Below are 21517 nucleotides of genomic sequence, written 5' to 3' on the forward strand. Positions count from 1 at the left end.
TAAGCAGTAGCATAAAATGGCTTATAGCTGAGCGGCCTCCGGGAGTGGTTCTGTTGGACTAGAGGTGTTTATATATTTTTTGCCTTTATATTATCAGGAACATATGTAGATTCTGGAACAAGTGTGAATCAAGACTCGTTTAAACTTATATTAATCTACTCCAGATTTATGTCTTTTATGTTAAGATAAAGCATTTTGTCTTTTAAAAAATAAAACTCTCTTGATTGGACACTGGTACCGAAATTTATAACACTTATAAACAATTTTGGGGTTCACCGACTGCGTACACATTCAGCCTTAGCCACTCAGTAGGCATATGACCTAAACTTTCTGCATTTTTAAAATGTGGATCATAATTGGTTACTTCCTCACAGAATGGTTATTGAGAGATGTAAATTTGGATATGCATGCCAGTAAATATTCTTATTGCTGAGCTTAACCAGTTCGGCAGAAATGTACATGAATTGAGAGAAGCAAATCTTCATCAAAGAAAATAATTTATTACAATAATAGACAAGATCAACATTTGTGCAAATTAAAAAATAGTTAATCCAATCAGAATCTGAATTTGAACTCCCCCCCCCGCCCCACCCCGCCACCTTCACTGGGTATTACGAGTTTTCGTAGACTGATCCTATAATTTTTAATTTCATGGCCTTCTAGTTTTCTGTACTTTTGCTTAGTGCTGAGCCCTTTAAGCAGAGACTCACAAGTGACAAATATCAGCACACCACTTAACTGAGGAAGCCGGAGTGTTCCCAGGTCCGCAAGTTGGAGCTCTTTAGTTGGAGTGCTGGGTTTAGACTAGAGAGCGGGTGTTGCGACTCCTCCTCCCCACCACCAGTCAACAACCCCGCCCACCCCCGCCAACTTCTTCTGGCCTCTTAGCGCCTTTCTGCAGCCAGCCGGCCCGCCCTTCCTCCGGGTGTCTGAGAGCTGGGCGCAGGAGGCGGGCTCAGCGCTGACGGGCTGCGCCTCTGCAGCCAGAGGGAGGAGGCGGGAAGGCGGGCGGAGGAGGAGGCGGAGGAGGAGGCGGAGGAGGGGGCGGGGACTAAGCAGGGCGGTAGCTGGCGCCGAGCGCGGTGGGAGAGGAGAGGGTACCCGGCTGGCTCGGCTGGCGGCCTCTGCCTGGATCTCGGCGCCGCAGTCCTGCGCCTCTCCCGCCCCTGTCTCCCGCTCCGCAGCCCCGGGCACGGCGGAGGCAGCGGAGCCCTGGGCCATCGGTAGGTTGCACGGGGACGACGGCTCCGTCTGTAACCTTTTGTGCTGCAGAAAAGGTGGTGGTTATGGGGGGCTTGGGGGAGTGGGTTTGCCCCAGGCTCCGATCCCCAGTGCCAGCCCTAATCGCGGCGCCGCCCCTTCCTCTCCGCCTCGTGTCTGGGCCGGGCGCACGATGCCCGCGGTGCTGGGGAAACCCGGCCGGACCAGCTTCTGCGATGGGCGGCGGGGCGGCCCCAGCGTCCCTTGGCCTTGGTGGACCGGTTCCCAGGCACCCGAAGGGGACTGGGGTCTGGTAAACTGGGTGGGGCCCGCGCGGGGTGCGGGGAGCTTGCGGTTCCCTGGCACAGGGGTGGGGCCGCAGACGCCGTGAGTGTGCAGCGCGTGTGAGTGTGCGGGGGCGTGCGCCCCCGTGTGCGCGCGTCGTGCGCTCGCTGGGGAGGTGCGGGGACTCGGCGACCCGGAGCGCCTCTCCCGCGGTGCCGCGGTGCGGAAGTCGGGGCGCGTTGGCGCGCACGCTCGCTCGCTCCCTCCCTTGGCCGCTGTTCCCGCACCGCGGGGCAGCGGGCCTGGAGGCCCCTTTGAGAAGTAGCTTTCCCCGGCCGGCGGCACCTTTGGCTGCGTGCCCGGCCGCGCTCAGGGTGCGACTGCCCGGGTCAGATAGCACCTCAGGGCGAGCCCCGGCGGTCTGATCTCGCCGACCCTCCTCGTCCTGGTTGCAACCCGCGTGCGAGGCCGCCCGCGCCCTCCGAGTGTCTGCCGGTGCAGTGGGGGTGGACTGGCCGGCTGTGGCCGTGTGTGCGCGTGTGGATTGGGGCCCGGTCCGAGCCAGAAGCTTAAGCGGCAGATGTCGGGCATTGCCACCCTCGCCCCACCTGTCGCGGGTGGACTTTGGGGCAGGTGGGAAGCGGAGGAGAGGGGTTTCGAGGCGGGTGGCAGTCAGACCTCCAGCAACGCGGCCCCATTGTGAAGCTGCCAAACTCTCTCTAGTGGTGGAATCTGCAGGTCTCCGCCAGAAAGGAGATGGGAACGCGAAGGGAATGATGGCCCCGTCCTTTTCCCCTTGCTAGTGTTCCACACGCTTAGGGACTCCCTGCCTCTCCTTCCACCTCAGTTTTCAACCCAGTGGGTTACTGATTTGGGTGGAACCAAGATTTCCGTGTGTGTGTGTGTGTGTGTGTGTGTTTGTGTGTGTGTGGTGCACAGGTAAAGCTGGAGCTGGGAACTTTTTATTTGAGCAGGAAGAATGGAGGCATTTTACAGTGTGCTTGCCGCTCCTAGCTGAAAGAACAATTCTTGCATATTTCTGATGTTACTAGACTCATTTTCCTTTTTTTTTTTTTTCCGAAGAGCCAACCTACAATTTAGGGTTGTTAGTTGTTTTATTTTCTCAAATCCTGTAATGCTGGATTGACACTATAGAGGTAGAAATGACCCTTTTGCAAAGTTTATTTTCCCAGTCATTTCAAAATATAGTATTGGTTATTACGGCAGAAGCTTTTGGCCGCGATTTATGATTACACTATTAAGTTTAATGAATGTGTCACAGAATCCTCAGTGTTTTAATTATGTAACTGTGAATGCATTATAAACTGAAAAGTAAAATGAACAGGATGGAATATAAGAGTTAATGAATACAGAGACCTGTTAATTTGATAATAATTGATGTATAGAATATGCTTTTGCTAACAGTTTATTTAATTGCAAATGAAAGTGTTAGTAATTATTTCAGTGTATAAGATATATTTATTGATATTATATAACAGTCAATGAATTTGCTTATTTTCTTTGTATATTTCTGTGTATTTTAGAGAGCTATTATAAAATTAACTCAAAAGTACTTAATATGGTTAGAGTAATAAAGCTTTATGTACAGGGTTTAAAATTTCTTTGCTGATTTGTAGCTGGGGGTGAGGTGGGGGATCAGCTCCTTTCCTCCAGAGAGAACTTTGATTTTGTCACCAGCCTATCAAAATGAGTACCTGGTTTTAAGCCTTCCCAAAGATTAGCCAATTCCACAGTGTACACCTGTTCCATTTTGATGATACTTCCTAAGAGACAAATTTCTTGTAAAGGCTGCATGTTGACCTTTAGTTCCACTTACTGTCGGTCATATTTGCAGTGAAACTGAGTATTTTTCTAAAAGTAGAAGGATGACACCACGTGATAAGAAGATATTAGTAACCTAGGTTTAATTTTTACTAGCAGAAATGGAAAGATAATGAGTGCTGCACTTTAAGGGGGTGGATTGCTATTAAAAGAACTGATACTAGAAAGAGAAACACATTTTTGTCTTACTGAACGAATTATGGGTTATCTTACAAAGTTGGCAAGGTTAATGGTTTGTTTGTAAGGTCAAGGATGGTTTCAGAAAAGTCACACCCTAGTTAACTCTTCTTAAAGAGTATTGATGACTTACTTTTTGCAAGTTGCAAATGGTAAAGTAAGAATATTTGAAAGAAGCCTCTAAGATGAGCATCTAGGTGCAGCTAAACATTTTGTTTTCATTGTTGTGTTGTACTTTGACAGTTAAGCCATTTTATTTCTGCTTAGTGTTCAGTTAGTATTCCTCCAGAGATGTTTTGGTTCATCTTTTACTTGTTTTTAGTGGTCTTTGAGATTAGTGGTTACAAAATATTTTCACTATTTTGAAAGAATTTTTAAAAATTGATGTTTTTTTTCCAAGTGCTTTTCCATTAGTGGTCTCTTCTTAAATAGCCACTCTGAAAATACTACCTGTTTTTCTTTTTCTTTCTTTCTTTCTTTCTTTCTTTCTTTCTTTCTTTCTTTCTTTCTTTCTTTCTTTCTTTCTTCCTTTCTTTCTTTCTTTCTTTCTTTTCTTTCTTGAAAATGTTTTGGTGGGCTTCAGGTTAGGGCCATGAAAAAAATGAAAATAAATGTTTTGATAGCTAGAATTAGAACTCACAGCTTCTACTGTACCAATTTCTCTGCCTAAAATTTGTCCTTTCATAATATAAACTTTAATGATGAATGTGATTTTTATTTACCAATATTTGAAAGGGCTATGTGCTGGTCCTCATATTTATAGTCTTATGATTTGTGATCAATGTTGTTAAATTTTTTCTTACTGCTGTTTTGTTAGTGATCTGTGCTGAAGCTTGAGATTCACGACTTTTTTGTGTGTTTACGAATTTTGTATGGACATAAACATTTCCAAATGGAGCTTTGTATATTTTTGGGAAAGGCACTCCCTTTTTTGGGTTCCTAGTGCCATTCAGGTTTACTGTTATTAGAAGGATTTATTTCCATGTCTGCCCTCCCCTCTGACCCAGTCTCAGGCCATCTCTTTATATGTGCACCAGTGCCTGCATAGTGTGGGGATATATAATAAGACTTAAGAAACATTGTTGAATGACTGAATAAGTGAATATCTAAGTGGGTACACCCGAAGAAAGAACTCAGACCTGTATGGGAATTCACCGTTCAAGCAGAAGGGTGTTTCCCTTTTTAAAAAAGTCATTGCCTTTCCATGTTGCTTTTGAGTAGGATAACAAATGAAACAGCCAAACTGAGACACTTTTGAGAGTTAAAGGGGGTTGCTTTCAATAATTATGCCAGGGTATTGACTATGAATTGAGATATATAGTCACTCTTCTTTTGAAAGGCATTCTTATTTACCTGTGATAATAACTATCACCTGAGAAATTCGATACATTTGGTAGTTAATGTTTGCAAACTTTTCTATTTGTAGAAGCTCCACTTGCAGTGAAATGTTGGGTGTCTTTTGCTTAGTCACCCATGACTTTCTTATCCAGAAGTCTGTGGGCAGCTCTTGGCCACTGCTTGGTTTTTTCCTATTTTTATTGCTTATGGGATAATGTCCCACTGCATTCTGTTTCAGCTTCTTATAACTGGAAGCATTTATTATATCTTGTAGCCTTTGCTCTATTTACTTCAGTCTTTGTTTTTATGCAGCATTTAGTCTATCTTCTAAGAATTTCACATGGATTCCTTTTCCTCTTGCTGACTGTTTTGGAGAGGAAATCTGTTGATATCTTTCCAAGCCTTCAGTGTTTAGAACATTGGCCAAAATCAGTTGCAAGCGTTAGAGAATTATAGATTTTTAAAGTATTCTAAAAATGTGTGTTATTTGAAAGGTACATGTTTTGGGAATTTTTATATTACAATCTTTTAATTGTTATAAGTGGGAGATGGGGGTAGAACCCTTACTGTAATTTTGTAGTAGATTTCTTTATGGGTTATGTCTTAAAGAAAACGTATAATCTTATACTAGTTAGTTTCTGGTCTTGTTCTTTTTATTTATTTTTCCCTCTTTTTCACCATATACCTCCTCCTCCTCCTCCTCCTCCTCCTGCTCTTCCTCCTCCTCCTCCTGCTCTTCCTCCTCCTCCCACAAAGCAGGAAGCAGAGTCAAAATTAGAAAAAGTGAGAATGTAATGGAGCTTCTGCACCTTGGTTTTCTTGTGTTGCTCCCTTGGACATTGTGTTTATATTCTATTTTTGGCTTGGCACTGGCATAATAGGAATAATCAGTTACTACTCTTTGTTTACTATGAAATTACCGATCATTTCCTAGATTTACACATCAGCTCCAGTGCAAGAGTTGGGTAATGTCTTCAAGGCTCCTCTGCTTTCAAATCCAGACTAAAGTTTTAGTTGATTTCTTTCTTTTGATGTTGAAAAAGAAACTCTTTGAAAGTGTAAATATTTTTCTAATGCATTTAAAAGCTTAAAAAGAAGAATATGTCACCAAATACATGAGGCAAATTATATGAAAGTTTGAATGAGATTTAAGACTGTCAAAACTATTCTTTAGGATTAAGACATTCAGATATTTCTAATGTTCCTCCTGCTTGTTTTAAATTGACATTTATAAAAGTATAAATGAAATCTATCCCACTTTGTGATAGATGTAGTCTTGAGAAATAAAGCGGAAATATATAACTGTATTTGATATCCAACCATATAACCAGACGGTATTGGTTGATACCTTTTTTTCTGTCGCATAATTTATGATTTTAGAAAATAGAAGCTCATAGGAGAAAGAGTCCATGATTCAGAAGGATTTTGTATAAGACTTTCCACGATGTGCCACCAAATCTTAATATTTTTCAAGTTGGAAATAACCATGCAGCTAAGTAGTTCCCCCAACCATTTCACAAATGAGGCAATAAAGCTTTTAGATAAAGTGCCTACCCATACACTTAAAATAGATTTTCACTTATAGAAATTACTTGATATACATTTTGCGGGATCATGATTATTGTGTAAAAGGCTATACATGTTGTCTTATCATTGAACAGAGGCCAGAGTGTAAAGTAAATGATCTTTGGAGTCAGACCAATTGGGGTTCCAATTCCTGCTGTGACTCTCATGTAGTATCACTTAAAAGAGTACTTTAAAATAGGGCTACTACTAAAGAGTACTTTAAAAATGGGATAATAATATTTTCTTCATGGAGTAGTTAAGATTAAATGATATAAATTGTATATCACTTTTGACATAAGGAAGATGCTAAAGAAATGTTCGTTTTTAGAACTCCTCTTTCCCATTAAAAATCCATTAAATAAGAAATGCAGATGAATGTTATTAGTATTGGGGAAATTCTTTGGGATAATTATATTAAATAAACATTTTGTCTGTAGGTAACAATTTTTGTTACAATTTACTGTGTGTTAAAACCAGAGGCTTCATTGGTGGGGTAGAATCAAGGCTTACTTTTCAAGATTTTTTGGTTCCCCAATTTGAGAATAGTTGGTGGCAAAATACATGAAAGGGAGTGTTTCTGTTATCTACATCTGAAGAAGTTGCAAAGGCTGATAAACATGCTAGTTTCTTGGAGTGACAGTTCTTGGTGCATTGGCTCCTTCCAGTTTCTCAAGCTAAAGAAGCACATATTAAACTCAGTAATTATCTATTTCCTTTGGATAAAACTCTCCTGTACTGGTAGGGAAAGTAATAAAGTTACAAACTCCTTGCCTTTTTTCTTGCAGTTTGTCTTTTGTTTGATAAGGTATTGTACTGTTGACACTTCTTGGGCTCTGTGCACCTACATAGATAAAATGAATCTACTCGCTTCATTTGACACCCCTCCAACTGCTTCTGTTGTTTAACCCAACAGAAAACCAACAACCAAAGAAACTTTTACAGGTGGAAAAGGACTTTGGAGGGTTTTCCTCGTCTCAGCAAATTAACCCTATTAACTAGGGAGGTAGGAGATAAAGATAGATTCTCTTACACATTAACTTCCCAGGTAAGAGAGGGAAGGCACAGAGGAGATGCTAGAAACCTTAAGTAAGGTGGTAACTATAAAAAAGTGCTTTTTCAGTCACTCTCTTTTTTTGTTGTGTTATCCAAGAGACTTCTAATCATTTGCCTCGCATCAGTCTTATGAAAGATTTACATTGTTGCTGCTTTATGGCTACAATGAGTCGATACCAAAAATTAATTGCATAATAATAGCATCACACGTTGTAAAGAGCTTTGCAGCATGTAAAGCATTCACCTACCTCATTTCATTTGATCCATCTAACAACTGTATTAGGGAGGAAGGGGGGTTATTACGGTCCACATTTTAGAGATTGATATTTATGCAGGGTCAAGAGGCAGAGTTCTTGGCAAGGCCAGAGCTAGGAACTATGGCCTGTGCTTTTGATCCTAGCCTAAGCATTATTTTTTTTCCATAGAGTACTGTGAATCGGTTGAACACATGAATAGGACTAGGATGGTGAAACCAATACTTATTACCTTACTTTTTCTTGTCTCTTTATTTAGCCCAGTTAGGTACTCCTAGTCTCTAGGTAGAATTTAAGTAACAGAGTACAGAGAAATACACATGATAAAATGTTTGAGGATGCATTTAGGTGAACAAACTCAACATCAATTGAATTAATTAATTATTGGGTCCTATATAACCTATACTTGATGTTACTACCTCCTGCTAGTTTTATTCTCTTTTGCAGTTAGAATTGATATCATGTTATAAGTTGTGTTACTTGTTAAATTAAAGGTTTATTTTTGTATTTCATGTTTAGTACCTGGAGTAGAACAGAAAAATTATTATGTCTGTGTTCCCTTGGGACTCATTGGAAATTGTACAGTGACATCTTCTGGGATTTAGTCTGGTAAGTTATATTTTGCTTTTTCCGTTCGTTAACAGTTGTATGAACACAATACCATAATGTGTTTTTTAAAGACTACATAAATAAACAAGTGAATGTGAAATGTCAGTTAATCAAGTGAATGTGAAATGTTGGTGTATTATTGCAAATATGTATACTATAATTACAAATTTTTAATGGTGAGAAATGAACTTATTGTTGCAATATGCAAACATTATTTTATTTGAAATGTTTGGCTAAGTTTTCCTTCCTTTAAATTTCTTCAACGTAAAGATCTTATGAAATAATATTTCAAAGTATAGTAGTTAGAGGTAACTGTTCCAATTTGGGGCAAATTTTAGTAAAAACATTAATCTCCAAACATTGCTGAAATAATTTGCAAAAAATTCTGGTTATATATTATCATACATAAAGAATGAGCCAACAGGTGTCTGAAAGGAGCATTATTTTCACTTAGTCGTACAGCAGTTCACTGAAAATGTGACATTCTTTTTATCACACCCTGAATTTAAACGGTTAAAAATATGCAATGCTGTTTTCTTCCTTTAGTTGTCTTTTTTCAGTGTGTCATCTGTGTATCTTTGCTGACATAGTTGTCCATGTGTCTCGAAGTCTTTGAAGGGAAAAAAGAAATTCATAATGAGCTATGGTAGCTCTTTAGCATCCTTAAGACTATATTAGTGTGACTTCATGCTTTGGTGTGTCATTCTACTTGGCCATTATCTTTGTGCATCCTTGCCTTGAATTATGTAAAGAGATCATAATCCTTAGAGAAAGCGGAGTTTCATAATAAGTGATTTCTAAATTTCTAGTCAGCAGCAGAATGATTCAAAGGAATGGTAGGGAAAAACAAATACTTTAATCTCATTAAGTAGATAAAACCTATTACATTTATGAAAATGCATTTTCGAACATTGGAAAATTGGAAACGTTACTAAAATTTTCAGTTTTGAGGAAAAGAGTAAGAAGTTTGAAAACCATAGTACAAAGTACTTGGAGAGGATATTGAATAAAAAACAATGTGGCCTGGTCACTGACTCAGCTAATAGAAATAAAGCACAAAACTAGAGCAATGGGTAGAAACTACAGGAATGTATGTGTATCTATGTCTATCCATCTATCTCTGTATATACCTATATTTATACAGTTGTCCCTTGGCATCCTTGGGGGATTGGTTCCAGGACTTCCCCCAGGTACCAAAATCTGATGATACGTAAGTCTCTGATACAAAAATGGTATAGTATTTGCCTATAACCTATGCACATCCTCTTGTATACTTTAAATAATCTGTAGATTACTTATAATACCTATTACAATGTAAATGTTACATAAATAGTGGCTGTACTGTATTATTTAGGGAATAATGACAAGAAAACAGTCTATACATATTCAGTGTAGATGTAATTTTTTGCTTTTTCAAATATTTTCTCTCTGTGATTGGTTGAATCCATGGATGCAGAACCCGTGGAGACAGGGTTGACTGTATATATGCATGTACATACAGATATATGTGTAAATAAATCGACATTCTAGCAGAGCTGCACAAGGTGAAATGAGTCATCTTGGGAGGCAGTGAGTTGCCTGTCACTGAAGGTGTTCAAACATACACTGGGAAACTATTAAGATTCCTTTTGATTCCAAAATTATACGGTACAAAAAAATTTAAAATTTGGAGGACCATCTGAAACGTGGAAATATGTGACAAAGAGTTCATTTATTTTTAATGTCAGGTTTATTATAACTTAGTAAAATCCGTCCTTTTAAAGTGTACGGTTTGATGCATTTTGACAAATGTATCCAGTTATGTAATGACCACTACAGTCAACAAATAGAACATTTTCATCACCCCCCAAAATTCCCTTTTTCCCCTTTGTAGTTATCCCCTCTCCCCACCCTAGGCCTTGGCAATTAATGATTGATTCTGGCAAATAGTTTTGCCTTTTCCAGAATGCCACGTAAGTAGAAACATGTAGTATATAGGTGTAATGTCTGCTTCTTTCACTTAATGTTTCCCCAGATTGTTCCACTTCATTGCTGAGTGGTATCCATTGTAGGGATGGACTGCAGTTTGTTTATCTCTTTCCCTGTTGATGGATATTTGGATTGTTTCCAGTTTCGGTGTTTGTGAATGAAGCTGTCATAAATATTCACATTCAGGTGTTTGTATGGACGTGTATTTTCATTTTTCTTGGGTTAGATATCTATGAGTATGGTGGCTGTGTTGTTTAATGAACATTTATTCAATTTTATAAGTAAATGCCAAACTGTTCTCTAACGTAGCTGCACCTGACAAAGGCTTCTAAGTAGCTAAAATAACTACGCCAAAGTGTGTGCAGATGAAGGAGCCCGATTCTCATTCAGCACAGATTTATTTTTATTTTATATGCAGTTTTAACACGTTTGGTTAGCAGATATTTCCAGCCCACAGAGGATTAGGAACAGTAAATTAGAAGGCCTAGGGGTAGGTTGTTAGCAATTATAAGCAGCCAAAAATTATGTTCACCAACATGACTATACAGTAATTACTGATTAAAAACAAAGGAGGGACTTAAAAGAGTGAAACTCTTCTATCTGATAAGTTCTATCTGACAAGTTCCCAAACCTATATGCATATTAGAATCACCTGGGAATCTTTTACAACTTGCAGAACCCAGGCTACACCCCAGATCAGTTAAATCACAAATCTGGGATGGAAAACAGACATCAGCAGTTTTTGAAGCTCCTTGCATGATTCTGGTGTAGACAAGTTTGGGAACCACATGCTAGAAGCACAACATGGACTTGGAGCCAGGGGGCCTGGGTTGTAATTATGGGCATTAACTATCTATGTGGCTCTGGGCAGGACCCTGTCTTGGTGGTTTCAGTGTCTTCTCTATATTTCAAGGTGGATGTTCCAGGTAGGTTATGTCCAAGATGATTCTGGCATTAAAACTATACCACTCTAGCCAGGGGCGGTGGCTCGCACCTGTAATTCTAGCTACTTGGGACATTAAGGAGGGAGGATTGCTTGAGACCAGCCTGGACAACATAGTGAGACCTCATCTCTAAAAGTATAAAAGAAATAATTAACCAGATTTGGTGATGCACACCTATGTCCCAGCTACTTGGGAGGCTGACGTGGGAGGATCGCTTGAGACCAGGAGTTTGAGGCTGCAGTGAGCTATCATTGCCCTACTGCACTCCAGCATGGGTGACAGAGCAAGACCCTGTGTCTAAACAAACAAACAAACAAACAAAAAACACAAAAATAGGTGGCTCTAGATATCATGATATCACTAGACTGGTATTAGCCATGCTTAGGAGACCCTGTTTCCCCAAAAATGGCTCTATAAGAAATGGTTTGATTCAAGTACTTCTTGAAAAGGATTTTCTTAACATGATGACATTTTTATTCTGCATATTTAAAATGGTTATGTTGATATCTGTTTTCTCTTATATGGTATTGCTGTATGTTGCTAAAAAAAACAGTGAAAGCATATGGAGCAGTGTTTTGATTACTGGGAGTGAATTTTTTTTATAATCTTATTTTTAAAAATTCTCAGAATGCAATTTCAAAAAGAATTCTTCGTATAGCAGTTCTGAAATTTATTAGCTATTTTCAGAGCTGGTCTAAGGAGCTAAGGCATCTAGATCATATTTTCAAAATGTTGCTCTTTGTGCCAAATAGATAGGAAGCTTGGCCTCTTGAAGAGTGTTCAAAGCTGTGCAGATTTTATACAGGTCTACTTTCTTGACTGTTCTTCTTGGTGCACGGGGTTCCACTCACGTGTGTTATGGTTTGGACCTGTTTGCTTTAGTCTCAGCCAGAATACTGGTATTGGGGTATTGAATGCTGTACCTAATGCTTTTGAAATGTACACTGTATATATTTTTGTAATATATATAAATGAATGAAATGTTATCTTTCCTTTTTTGAAGGAAAGTTTACATTTAGTTTGTAAATTTCTTTAAAGAGGTATCTAAGTGTTTTAAGTGAGAATAATATCAGGAGATTTGAGGTCAAAGAATGGCAGTCATGTCCCTTTCATTTATCTTTTTCTTCTTGGAAAAATCAAACACATCAAACAAAAGGAAGTACATCATCTCCTTTCTTCTTTTGATAATTCCTGTTTCTAAGCAATAAGAGGAGAAACAGGCACTGTTCTGGTGAGTGTATAGATGATACTCTTTAAAAGTGTTTACATTAATTTTTAGTTATATAAAAGAATATCCATATAAAAACCAGAAACATTATTAATAAGGTTTTGTGGTGCTTGCTATAAAAATCTAAAAAGTACATGTTCTTTGACTCAGCATTTTTACTTCTGGAATTTCCTGCAGAAATATTCATGTGTGCCTATGTGTACTCTTGCATGTTTTCATTGTAGAAAGAAGTAATCACTCACTCTTACATTTGTAAATACGCGGAAAAAGGAAGGATATACCAAAATATTAATAGGGGTTTCCTCAAGATATGTCCGGCATTGGTAGGGGATGAAGAATGATTTTGCCATTTATAGTACATCAATATGAATTATTTGGACTGGAGAGCTTTCAGTTTGCATGCATTGCTTTTATCGGTTTCAAAACAATAACAAGGAAAAACAATCACTTGAGCAGGTTATTGAGGTAAGAAAAAGATAGAAAGTATCTTCTGGAAGGGAAAGGTGGTTATAAAAAATGTTCATGGACTCTAAGACCTCTTTGAGATATCTCTGTGTATGGTTAAAGAAATTAGCAAGTAGGATGGTGCCCCAGGCTTAGAGCCTAGTGAAATAATTTTTGTTTCTAGGAGTGTGTCACTGACTCAGACACCCTATAGCATAGGAGCTGACTGTGGGCAATATCTGGATGTATCTTGGTGTTAAGTCACATTCTCAGCTTTTTGGAACCTTTGCTTTTCTTTCTCTCCATGAGAATTACATTGTACCCTACCTTTACCATATCCCTCCTATCATGAAAAATATGTTTGATAAACTAATTCAGTCTGTAATAGAGAAAAATAAAGGTGTTTTAAGAGAAGACAGCAAAAAAGAGCAATATTAAACTTGGCGGAATGAGTCTAACAATAGAATTTCATGCCTTTGACATCTCAGCTAAAGGTTTGGGGAGTTGGAATTTTTTTTAACAGGCATGCTGCTGATGTATAAATGAACTCTATATATAGGAAAGCTAATGAAGCAATTAATTTTTTGAGTTTCTTAAATGAAATACAGGTATTAGGATACGGTGTTTCTCAAAAAGAATTCTTTCTATACCATTTGTCAAATTTACCACCTGTTTTCAAAGCTGGTCTAAGGAGCCAAGGGCATTTAGGTTATATTTTGAAAGTATTGGTATTTATGCTCCAAATTTAGGTTTGGCCTCTCAGAGAGTATTCAGACCTATGCAGATTCTATAAGGGTTACAGGCTTTTGAACGTGCTTATCCTGGTGCACCAGGTTCTCCTATACATGTGTTGTGATTTGGACCTATTTGCTTTAGTTTTAGCCAAAATTTACAATTTCATTCTGTACCCAATGCTTTAAAAATGTACTGTGTACATTTTTAAAGAATTATTGTTACCTTTGTCTGATGTCATCTAGTTGGATCCACGTAAATTTCAGCAATATAGAAGCATCTATAAACGTTGCCAAATCTTTCATGTTTTATAAATACATTGGTGCTATTGTTACTGGTTGGATTGTGAGGGAATTAGATATTGAAGACCTTAGGTGTCATTTGAAAAATTGTATTGTTCCTGGTACTTTTTAAGAAGCTCAATTTCAAAAGCATTGTTCAATTACAAGTTGACGTTTCTATTCTTGTTTCATTTTCTGTTTTAGCTTCTTCTCTCCACATTTTGCTGCTTCTGTAATTATAAAATTAATACTTTTTCTATTTTCTATTTACAGTCTATTTTTGCTTTAAATTATATATGAAAGGCATTAATGGAAGCAAGAAAGGTATCTTTGATCTCTGGGTTTTAGTGCTCTGGAATGAAGCAGTTGGCATTAGACCTGATTTCTTGACTCACAGGTTATTCTTATTGATGTAGTGGGAAGTGTGGCACCTGTTGCATGGTACCTGTAGTGGTAATTTGTGAGAGTGCTTTGTAATTGTTTATCTTGGCAGCAAGCTTTTTGGATACAAGGTTTATTTGACAATATGAAACAAAATGCTGAGTCATGCATAGACTTATTAAAAATAACAAGTCTGTAAGCAGTTTTTTTCATGGTAAAACCTGAAGAATATACTGCTAAACACAGGCCATCTCTAGTTATAGTCACCATAGCTGAGTTTCCTGATGGATGTCTTTCAGTAAGAAATTTTGCTGTGGAAAATGTTGGACATCTGTATATCAAGATAGGTTGACTTTGAGACTGTTCAGTTTTTACTGTCTTTAGTGTCTTTTTTTTTTTTTCCAGAATTCTGGAGTTAGGAGGTACCCAGACTTCTTCCTCTGCAGATGGGACAGTGTCTAAAGAGCTTCTGCCCATTGTAAAAATAACCTGAGCAAGTTGATTCTGTAACTGTTCTCAGGATCTTGCTTCAATATGTAAATCTAGTCAAGAAATTCTCAGGAATGTAGTAGCATAAGAAGTTTTGTTTTCTGTCACACAGAAGAATGGGAGGTATGCTGCTTATTCAGCATTCAGCCCAACTACAAATGAAATATTTGACATTGAGGGCTGTCTTTTCTGAAATCCAGCCTCTACCTAGCTTTCTTGGTGCAGCATAGTAGATGTGTGTAGAAGGGCAATATATAAGTAAAACGAATCCTTTAGAAAAACAGAAGCCGTTTGTGAGAGTCTTGTTTCCAGCGTTCATGTTCCTACGTGAATATCGAGACCTGAAGTTGTTCTTGTACATGTGGCAGTATATTGCAGAGACCAATGAACCACCCAATGAGCTGTTAGTTTTGAGAATACACTATTTGTAGTTTGGAGCAAAAATACTGATGTTTGATAGCCAAAAAGTGCAAACAGTTTTCCAGCTCTGAGAATTGCTCATCAGAAGTTCAGCACATAGCAGCTATATATATTTAAAGTCAGCCTTTTCATGTTCCTGCGCCTTGAGACTCTCCCGCAGGAATCTCCCTAGAATACTGACCTGTTTTGCATTGGCTTTAGTTGCTCCACTGAGTATTTGTGTTGGAGGATATTAGAAATGCTTATTCTTTCAACTTTCTGATTAGATTCTGTTTTCCATAGTGAATGTTTTGTCTACCTCAGTAAAATATGGTAGATTTCATACACCAGACTGCCTGGTTGAAATTTCCAGAGCTCTTAAACCACATCTGTATCTTCTACTTAACAACCTAGGTTAAATCATTGTCTACCAGGTTGATGTGTGAAGATCCTGTTTGGATTGTTCTCTTCCCAAGCCAATTGATTTTTTTTTTTTTATGGTGTTATTGGCTGTTGGAAACTTAACTGATGAGTTACTTGTCTAACAATAGTGTCTATTTCTTATCAAATCAGATTTTGACCTTTACACAAGTCTTCACATTTCTAATTTTGCAGGTACTTCCAGGTATTTTCTAGCTAATATATTATTTCTGCCTATTTCTCTAAACCGTTGTCTCCTTCTAGGCTTTATCTTCAACCCCCAAGGATTCTCAGAATTTCTGACAGTTTACCTTGATGCAGCAGGATTGGCTTAGTATGGGGAAAAACTTTTGATGATTCTGTTGCCCTCAGAAGCCTGTGCCTCCTCCTCATTACTGTAACTTTGTGCATTATTAACTTACTTAGCAAATTTTTTCCCTCGTAGACAAAAAAGATGAATTTTAGCCTCACCTCTGTATGAATTATTACCCAATTTGGAATGTGTGGGGTCTGAAGTCATAGATTTAAAGAAATTTGTAATATACTAAATGAGAATGCAGTAAGCTGCGTGGTGGGACTCCAAGAGTTGTCATGGAGTGCCAGATTTGAAAGAGACCTAGACCAGAGTCTCAGAGTAGACAGACTGCTTGAGTGTCACTGCCTTGGTGACTCTCCTTGAGTGTGGTGCCCAGTCTTGGTGTGAGTGTGTGCCCTTTCCTCAATGGCCCTGGTTATTTTTTTTGCCTCACTGACCCTCCTTTCCTTCTCAGGATGAAATATCAGAGAAACAGCTACTACCTGTAGCTGCCAGTCAGGTTACGTAGGTTGGAGGCCTTGGCTATGTCCTCTTGCATTCTTTCTGGGTTACAAAATTAGTGAGAAAGGAAGGATAAATTTGTCATTCGACTCCGAGTAAATATTTGTTTGTTTAGCATAAAAATTTGTTGAGGCTTCACATGGCTCTCTAAAGTTTATTAGCTAAGAAGTCTTATATGCATATCAGAGTAGCTGGTAGTCACCTGATATTCCAGTACTATCAACAGAGAAATAAATTCCTCAAATATAATTTATTTTATATAAATAATATAAATAAAAATATTTACATTAAAAATATAATAAAGCTGATTACTTTAAATCTAAAAGGGTTCAGGGACTAGAGTATTTTGGTGAAATAAAAATGGCAAATAGTCTAAGGTTGAGAATAAATAGTGAGTAATACTATATAGATCCTTTGGCATTTGCTTTATCTCAAATATTGTAATAAATGTTTGTTTTCAGTGGGGATCATAGGAAGGACAGCGTGGTATCTGGTAACTTCACAATCTCCTAATGAAGGAAATTAGAACATGCATGTGGTGGAATAAAGTGCTGTTTTTTTTTTTTAAAGCTTTCTAATTGCTTGGATTTTAAATGAATACCCAAACTTTAAGAAATACTTCAATAGGAAGTGGTTATTTGTCTAGTGAGAAGATTCGTAAGAGTTATTTAATTTTTAAGTAAATTTTTCATCTTAAAATCAGTTGATGTCATTTTGATTAGCAATCTGAGATACTTAAAACCGTGTTATCTACTTCCAATTAAAAAGCAAGTACAAATAGTTTCTCAGAAATGAAACTGTCACTATTTCCCTTAGTATTTTAGCTTCCCAAATTTGATCTATCTGTAGCTTTCAGGAACCTAGCCGCCATTTGTTCTATTTCTTGTCAATGGAGATTTCCAAACTATGTAATGTAATAATCGTAAGGAACAATATTACTATTCATTGTGAATTATTCTGCCATTTATGAAACTATTGAAAAGTACAACGTCTTGGGTATTGAAAAACAGAATGTCAAGCCTGTGGTGTATTTTATGATTAAGTAGTCAATTAAAATGACATCTGATGTTTTATACATTTTTAGTATTAAAAATTATGTGATATATTGGATTTAGGATTACTTTTAAACTACAAAATGATATTCTTTAATTCATTGGGGATATGGAAGGAAGAACATTTACAAGGTTTGGGGGAACCTTCCCCTAAGACTCCTCATACTCTAAGAATAGTTTTTTAGGTCTAAATTGGATTCCTTGCAGAAATTCGTCAGCTCAATCAACTTTATTATATGTTCCTTAAAGACAAATTGAAAAGAATTGCAGGTGTCAAGAGCTAAGCACTTACTTTAAATTAAATAATGGAAAAATTTAACTTTCAAGCCAGAAATATTTTGTGTGTTCTTATGAAACTATGTATGATGGCTTTCATTTGCTTAATGCTGAGATCTGTATTTGACTCGCTTGATATTGCATTAAGGAATAAACTTTATGTGATTGAATAGAGTGCGGAATTTAGAGAAGTATTGTTGTTGTTGTTTTCTGTTTGCTTCTCCATCTGAACTTTTTGGTAGTACATCAGACTTTAATTTAACTTGCCTTTCAGTTCTTAAAGGCAGAGAGGTATTGTCATTTCATGCCCGCTCTGAAACGTTTAGTAGACATAGTTACATGTCAGTGGTACATTGACTGTCTTTCAGGCAAGTGTTACTTCATGCTCCCTGAGCCTTCTAAAAGGACCTGGCCTGGCCCAAGTCTCTGTGCATTATATTCTTCTAATCTAAGTCTGTTTACTTTTAGGATTGTGCAGACTGGTGCTTAAAATGGAAGTCGATATTAATGGAGAGTCTAGAAGTACCCTGACCACCTTGCCCTTCCCTGGGGCTGAGGCCAACTCCCCGGGAAAGGCGGAGGCAGAGAAGCCCCGCTGCTCCAGCACACCCTGCTCCCCGATGCGGAGGACCGTGTCAGGCTACCAGATCCTACACATGGACTCTAACTATTTGGTTGGCTTCACGACTGGCGAGGAACTCCTGAAGTTAGCTCAGAAGTGCACAGGAGGTGAAGAGAGCAAAGCAGAAGCCATGCCATCCTTACGCTCCAAACAGCTAGATGCAGGACTTGCCCGTTCCTCTCGTTTGTATAAAACCAGAAGTAGGTACTACCAGCCATACGAGATTCCAGCTGTCAATGGCAGGAGGCGAAGGCGGATGCCAAGCTCAGGAGACAAGTGCACTAAATCTTTACCTTATGAACCTTACAAGGCCCTCCATGGGCCTCTGCCTCTTTGTCTTCTTAAAGGTAAGAGGGCTCACTCCAAATCTCTGGACTACCTCAATCTAGATAAAATGATCAAGGAGCCAGCTGATACAGAAGTGCTACAGTACCAGCTTCAACACCTAACCCTCCGAGGGGACCGTGTGTTTGCTAGGAATAATACATGAATGACTTGGAGAGAGCTTAAACCAATTTAGGTCAGCCTACGCTTGGCTAGAAAAAACCCACTGCTGTACTCTGTACATGACTCTTCACACTATAGATGGTTATATCAGCTAAGTGTTCCTGGAACATAAAAATTGTTTGGGTCAAATTTGAATACAGGAATGAAATCACAGGTACTTGGGGGGGGGATATCATTCTAGAGCACGCAACTGCAAAGAAAACAGAATGTTGACTGTTAGTTTGTATAGCTTTTTAGCTAGGAAAAAAAGGCTTTGGTACAGTAATTTCATCTTTATGATTCTGACACTCAAATTGGGAATGTTACCTGCTTGGTTGTTGCTGACTTGATATGATTCATTAGAAATTTATATCTTCAGTACTCAAGTACTTCTTGAATCTCTGTATTTTACTATAAAATGTATGTAATGATTTGTTTTATGAAATTTAGAACTTGAACATTGCTGAATTGGACCACTTTTTATTTTTAAATATTGAGTTTAAATATTTTATAACTGGTTTTGCACTGAAAAAATTAACATTTCAGATTGACAAGAGAGTAATCTTTCTTCACTTGCCTCAATAATGTTATTGAGCAATGAATTTTTTATTTCCGCATGGAAAGTTATTGATCTCTATGGCTGTAAAATATTTCTTTATAGCGTTATTAAAGTGTGTCTTAATAAAATTAAATTTGGGATACAAAGTATTTATTTTACAATGGGTGGGCGGGGGAAACTTTTCCAGAAAGTTTCCAATATGACGTTTTCATAAGTTGAAAAAACTCTCCTTAGTGCTTATTTTCTAACTTAAAATTCACCTGGAACTTTAAATGGGAAAGGATTCTTTTAATTGTGGATTATAGGCATAATACTGTTTGCATCTGAATTTTCTGTAAGTGAATAATAGTTTAATAGAGGAACTCATGATTTGTACTATTGAATGATTAAACTAAGTATGAAGTGATACCATTCAGCATGGCATCAGGTCATTGCAGTTTTAGTTCTGTGTAACACAAGCACTCACTGAAATTCCAGTTTCTAGGATTAGTGTAGGAGCCTAACGTGCTTCTACTGTTTTAATGGGTTAATCCTGGATTACTTAACAATTTATGTCAATTGCACTGGTTTAATTTGTTGCTAAAGAAATAATGCCCTGGGTTTAGTAACAAATACAGCTCAACTATTCTTGAATATATTTTGAAAAAAAAATGTATGTAACTTACCTTTTGTAAACGTTCCATTTCTTTTTTCCCTCATTTTTGACTCTTAAAGGTGCAATTTATTACTGAATTGGGATTTCTGGCAGCACAGAACTGCTTTTTATTTTGGGGTCTGTGAGTTTCTTAGGTATTAGCAATCTTGCTTATAAAATAAGAACACCTTTTAATTAATGAGTGGGTCATTCCTGGTGCAATTGTGATTTTTCTTTAGCCAGAATGAATGGCAAACTCTATTTAGAGCAAAGTAAGTATTAGAAAACCCTAGGAACTCTTAATCAACGTTTATTACACTTTCATTAAGGCAAACTACGTGAAAGAGCCTTGGGGAAGTTGGCCCATATCTTACTAAGTTGATCAGATTTCTCGTTGGGCTGGAAATGTTTCGCTGTTGTATATTTTAAAGTAAATTGCACCTTTGTAACATATTGTATTGACGAATGATCACTAAGATTAGCTATATCTATACAGTCATTAGTTTGACAAGAAATAGAATCCTGTCAGATGCCAAAGAGTGGGATTTTTATGTTTAATGATTAAACACCATTATTTATTGACAATTTACCCTGTGGAACTGTATTATTTCTAACTATGAAATAAAGGGGTGATGTAAACACACATTGTTGTGTGGTGCTTTAAACTAGGTCCACTATCAACAGGCTACTTACTGTTCAAGAATTCCACTGAAGCACTTATTTTAAGGCCCTATTTTTCTTAAACAAAACAGTGACAACAACAATCAAACCATTTACTTTTGATGCTCATTGGCATTTTATGATAAAAGATGTATTCATGGCAATGATATGTATTCACCCTATTAGGAAACACAACTGGTTACCTATGAGACCTGTTCTGTCCGTGTGCCTACGTTCCTTAATAATAGCTAAATAAAAATTTGTAGCTTTTTTTGTTTTGTTTTGTTTTTTCCTGAAAGACAGGTGAAACTCTGTGGCAAAAATAGGGGGGTTAATAGTATAAGATATGGCATACTTACTCTTTTTTGATTAGTAAAGATATATAATTTTAAATTTGGTTTTCTAGAAAGAAAGTTTCAAAACTCTAGGCCAGTAATTTTCACAATGTGTTTGCAGAACCCCTTTATTAGTTCAGTCTTACTTTCTCTGCACCCCATGGAATTGTAGCCTATGGTAGGTAAGAACCAATTTTTTTAAAAAAAGGGTAGGCTGGATCTCTTTTAGTTGAAAAACAATCCCTTTTGACATGGTTTCTATTTTTTAACTTTTTCATTTTTTATTCAATTTAATATTCCACACTAAATGGGGCACACTTGGCCAGAATATACCTGATGATATTATCTTACTGTTCTTGCCCTTAAACATTGCAGCACTATATAACTTTAATTTTTTTCTTCTTTTGCAAAAGTACCGTTTGTTTGAAGCTCAGATGATGCATAAAGTTGCAGTAAAATTTCATTC

General features: G+C 37.7%; 1 protein-coding gene across 9 annotated transcripts, besides 2 other annotated features; it reads left to right on the forward strand.

Moving 5' to 3' along the window:
* Window positions 701-20987, forward strand: MACIR (macrophage immunometabolism regulator). 9 transcript variants are annotated; one of them, NM_001377283.1, is made up of 3 exons: window positions 701-762; window positions 8235-8324; window positions 18224-20699. In NM_001377283.1, the coding sequence occupies exon 3, from the start codon at window positions 18247-18249 to the stop codon at window positions 18865-18867; it is 621 nt and encodes a 206-aa protein (NP_001364212.1). In that variant the 5' UTR covers window positions 701-762; window positions 8235-8324; window positions 18224-18246; the 3' UTR covers window positions 18868-20699. The 9 variants fall into 9 exon arrangements, with proteins under 9 accessions (NP_001364212.1, NP_149988.1, NP_001364213.1 ...); NM_033211.4 differs by lacking the exon at window positions 701-762 and adding an exon at window positions 1090-1223 and having other exon boundaries at window positions 18224-20987; NM_001316969.2 differs by lacking the exon at window positions 701-762 and adding an exon at window positions 1357-1513 and having other exon boundaries at window positions 18224-20987.
* Window positions 751-1260: a silencer, noted in NCBI's record as "silent region_16210". NCBI's record gives its function as "represses an Ori minimal core promoter by ATAC-STARR-seq in GM12878 lymphoblastoid cells {active_cell/tissue: GM12878}" and the evidence as "EXISTENCE:reporter gene assay evidence [ECO:0000049][PMID:35858748]".
* Window positions 1471-1850: a silencer, noted in NCBI's record as "silent region_16211". NCBI's record gives its function as "represses an Ori minimal core promoter by ATAC-STARR-seq in GM12878 lymphoblastoid cells {active_cell/tissue: GM12878}" and the evidence as "EXISTENCE:reporter gene assay evidence [ECO:0000049][PMID:35858748]".
* Window positions 20988-21517: the final 530 nt, after the last annotated feature.

Source organism: Homo sapiens, chromosome 5 (assembly GCF_000001405.40).
Source record: "Homo sapiens chromosome 5, GRCh38.p14 Primary Assembly".
In the NCBI taxonomy this organism is placed as follows: domain Eukaryota; kingdom Metazoa; phylum Chordata; class Mammalia; order Primates; family Hominidae; genus Homo; species Homo sapiens.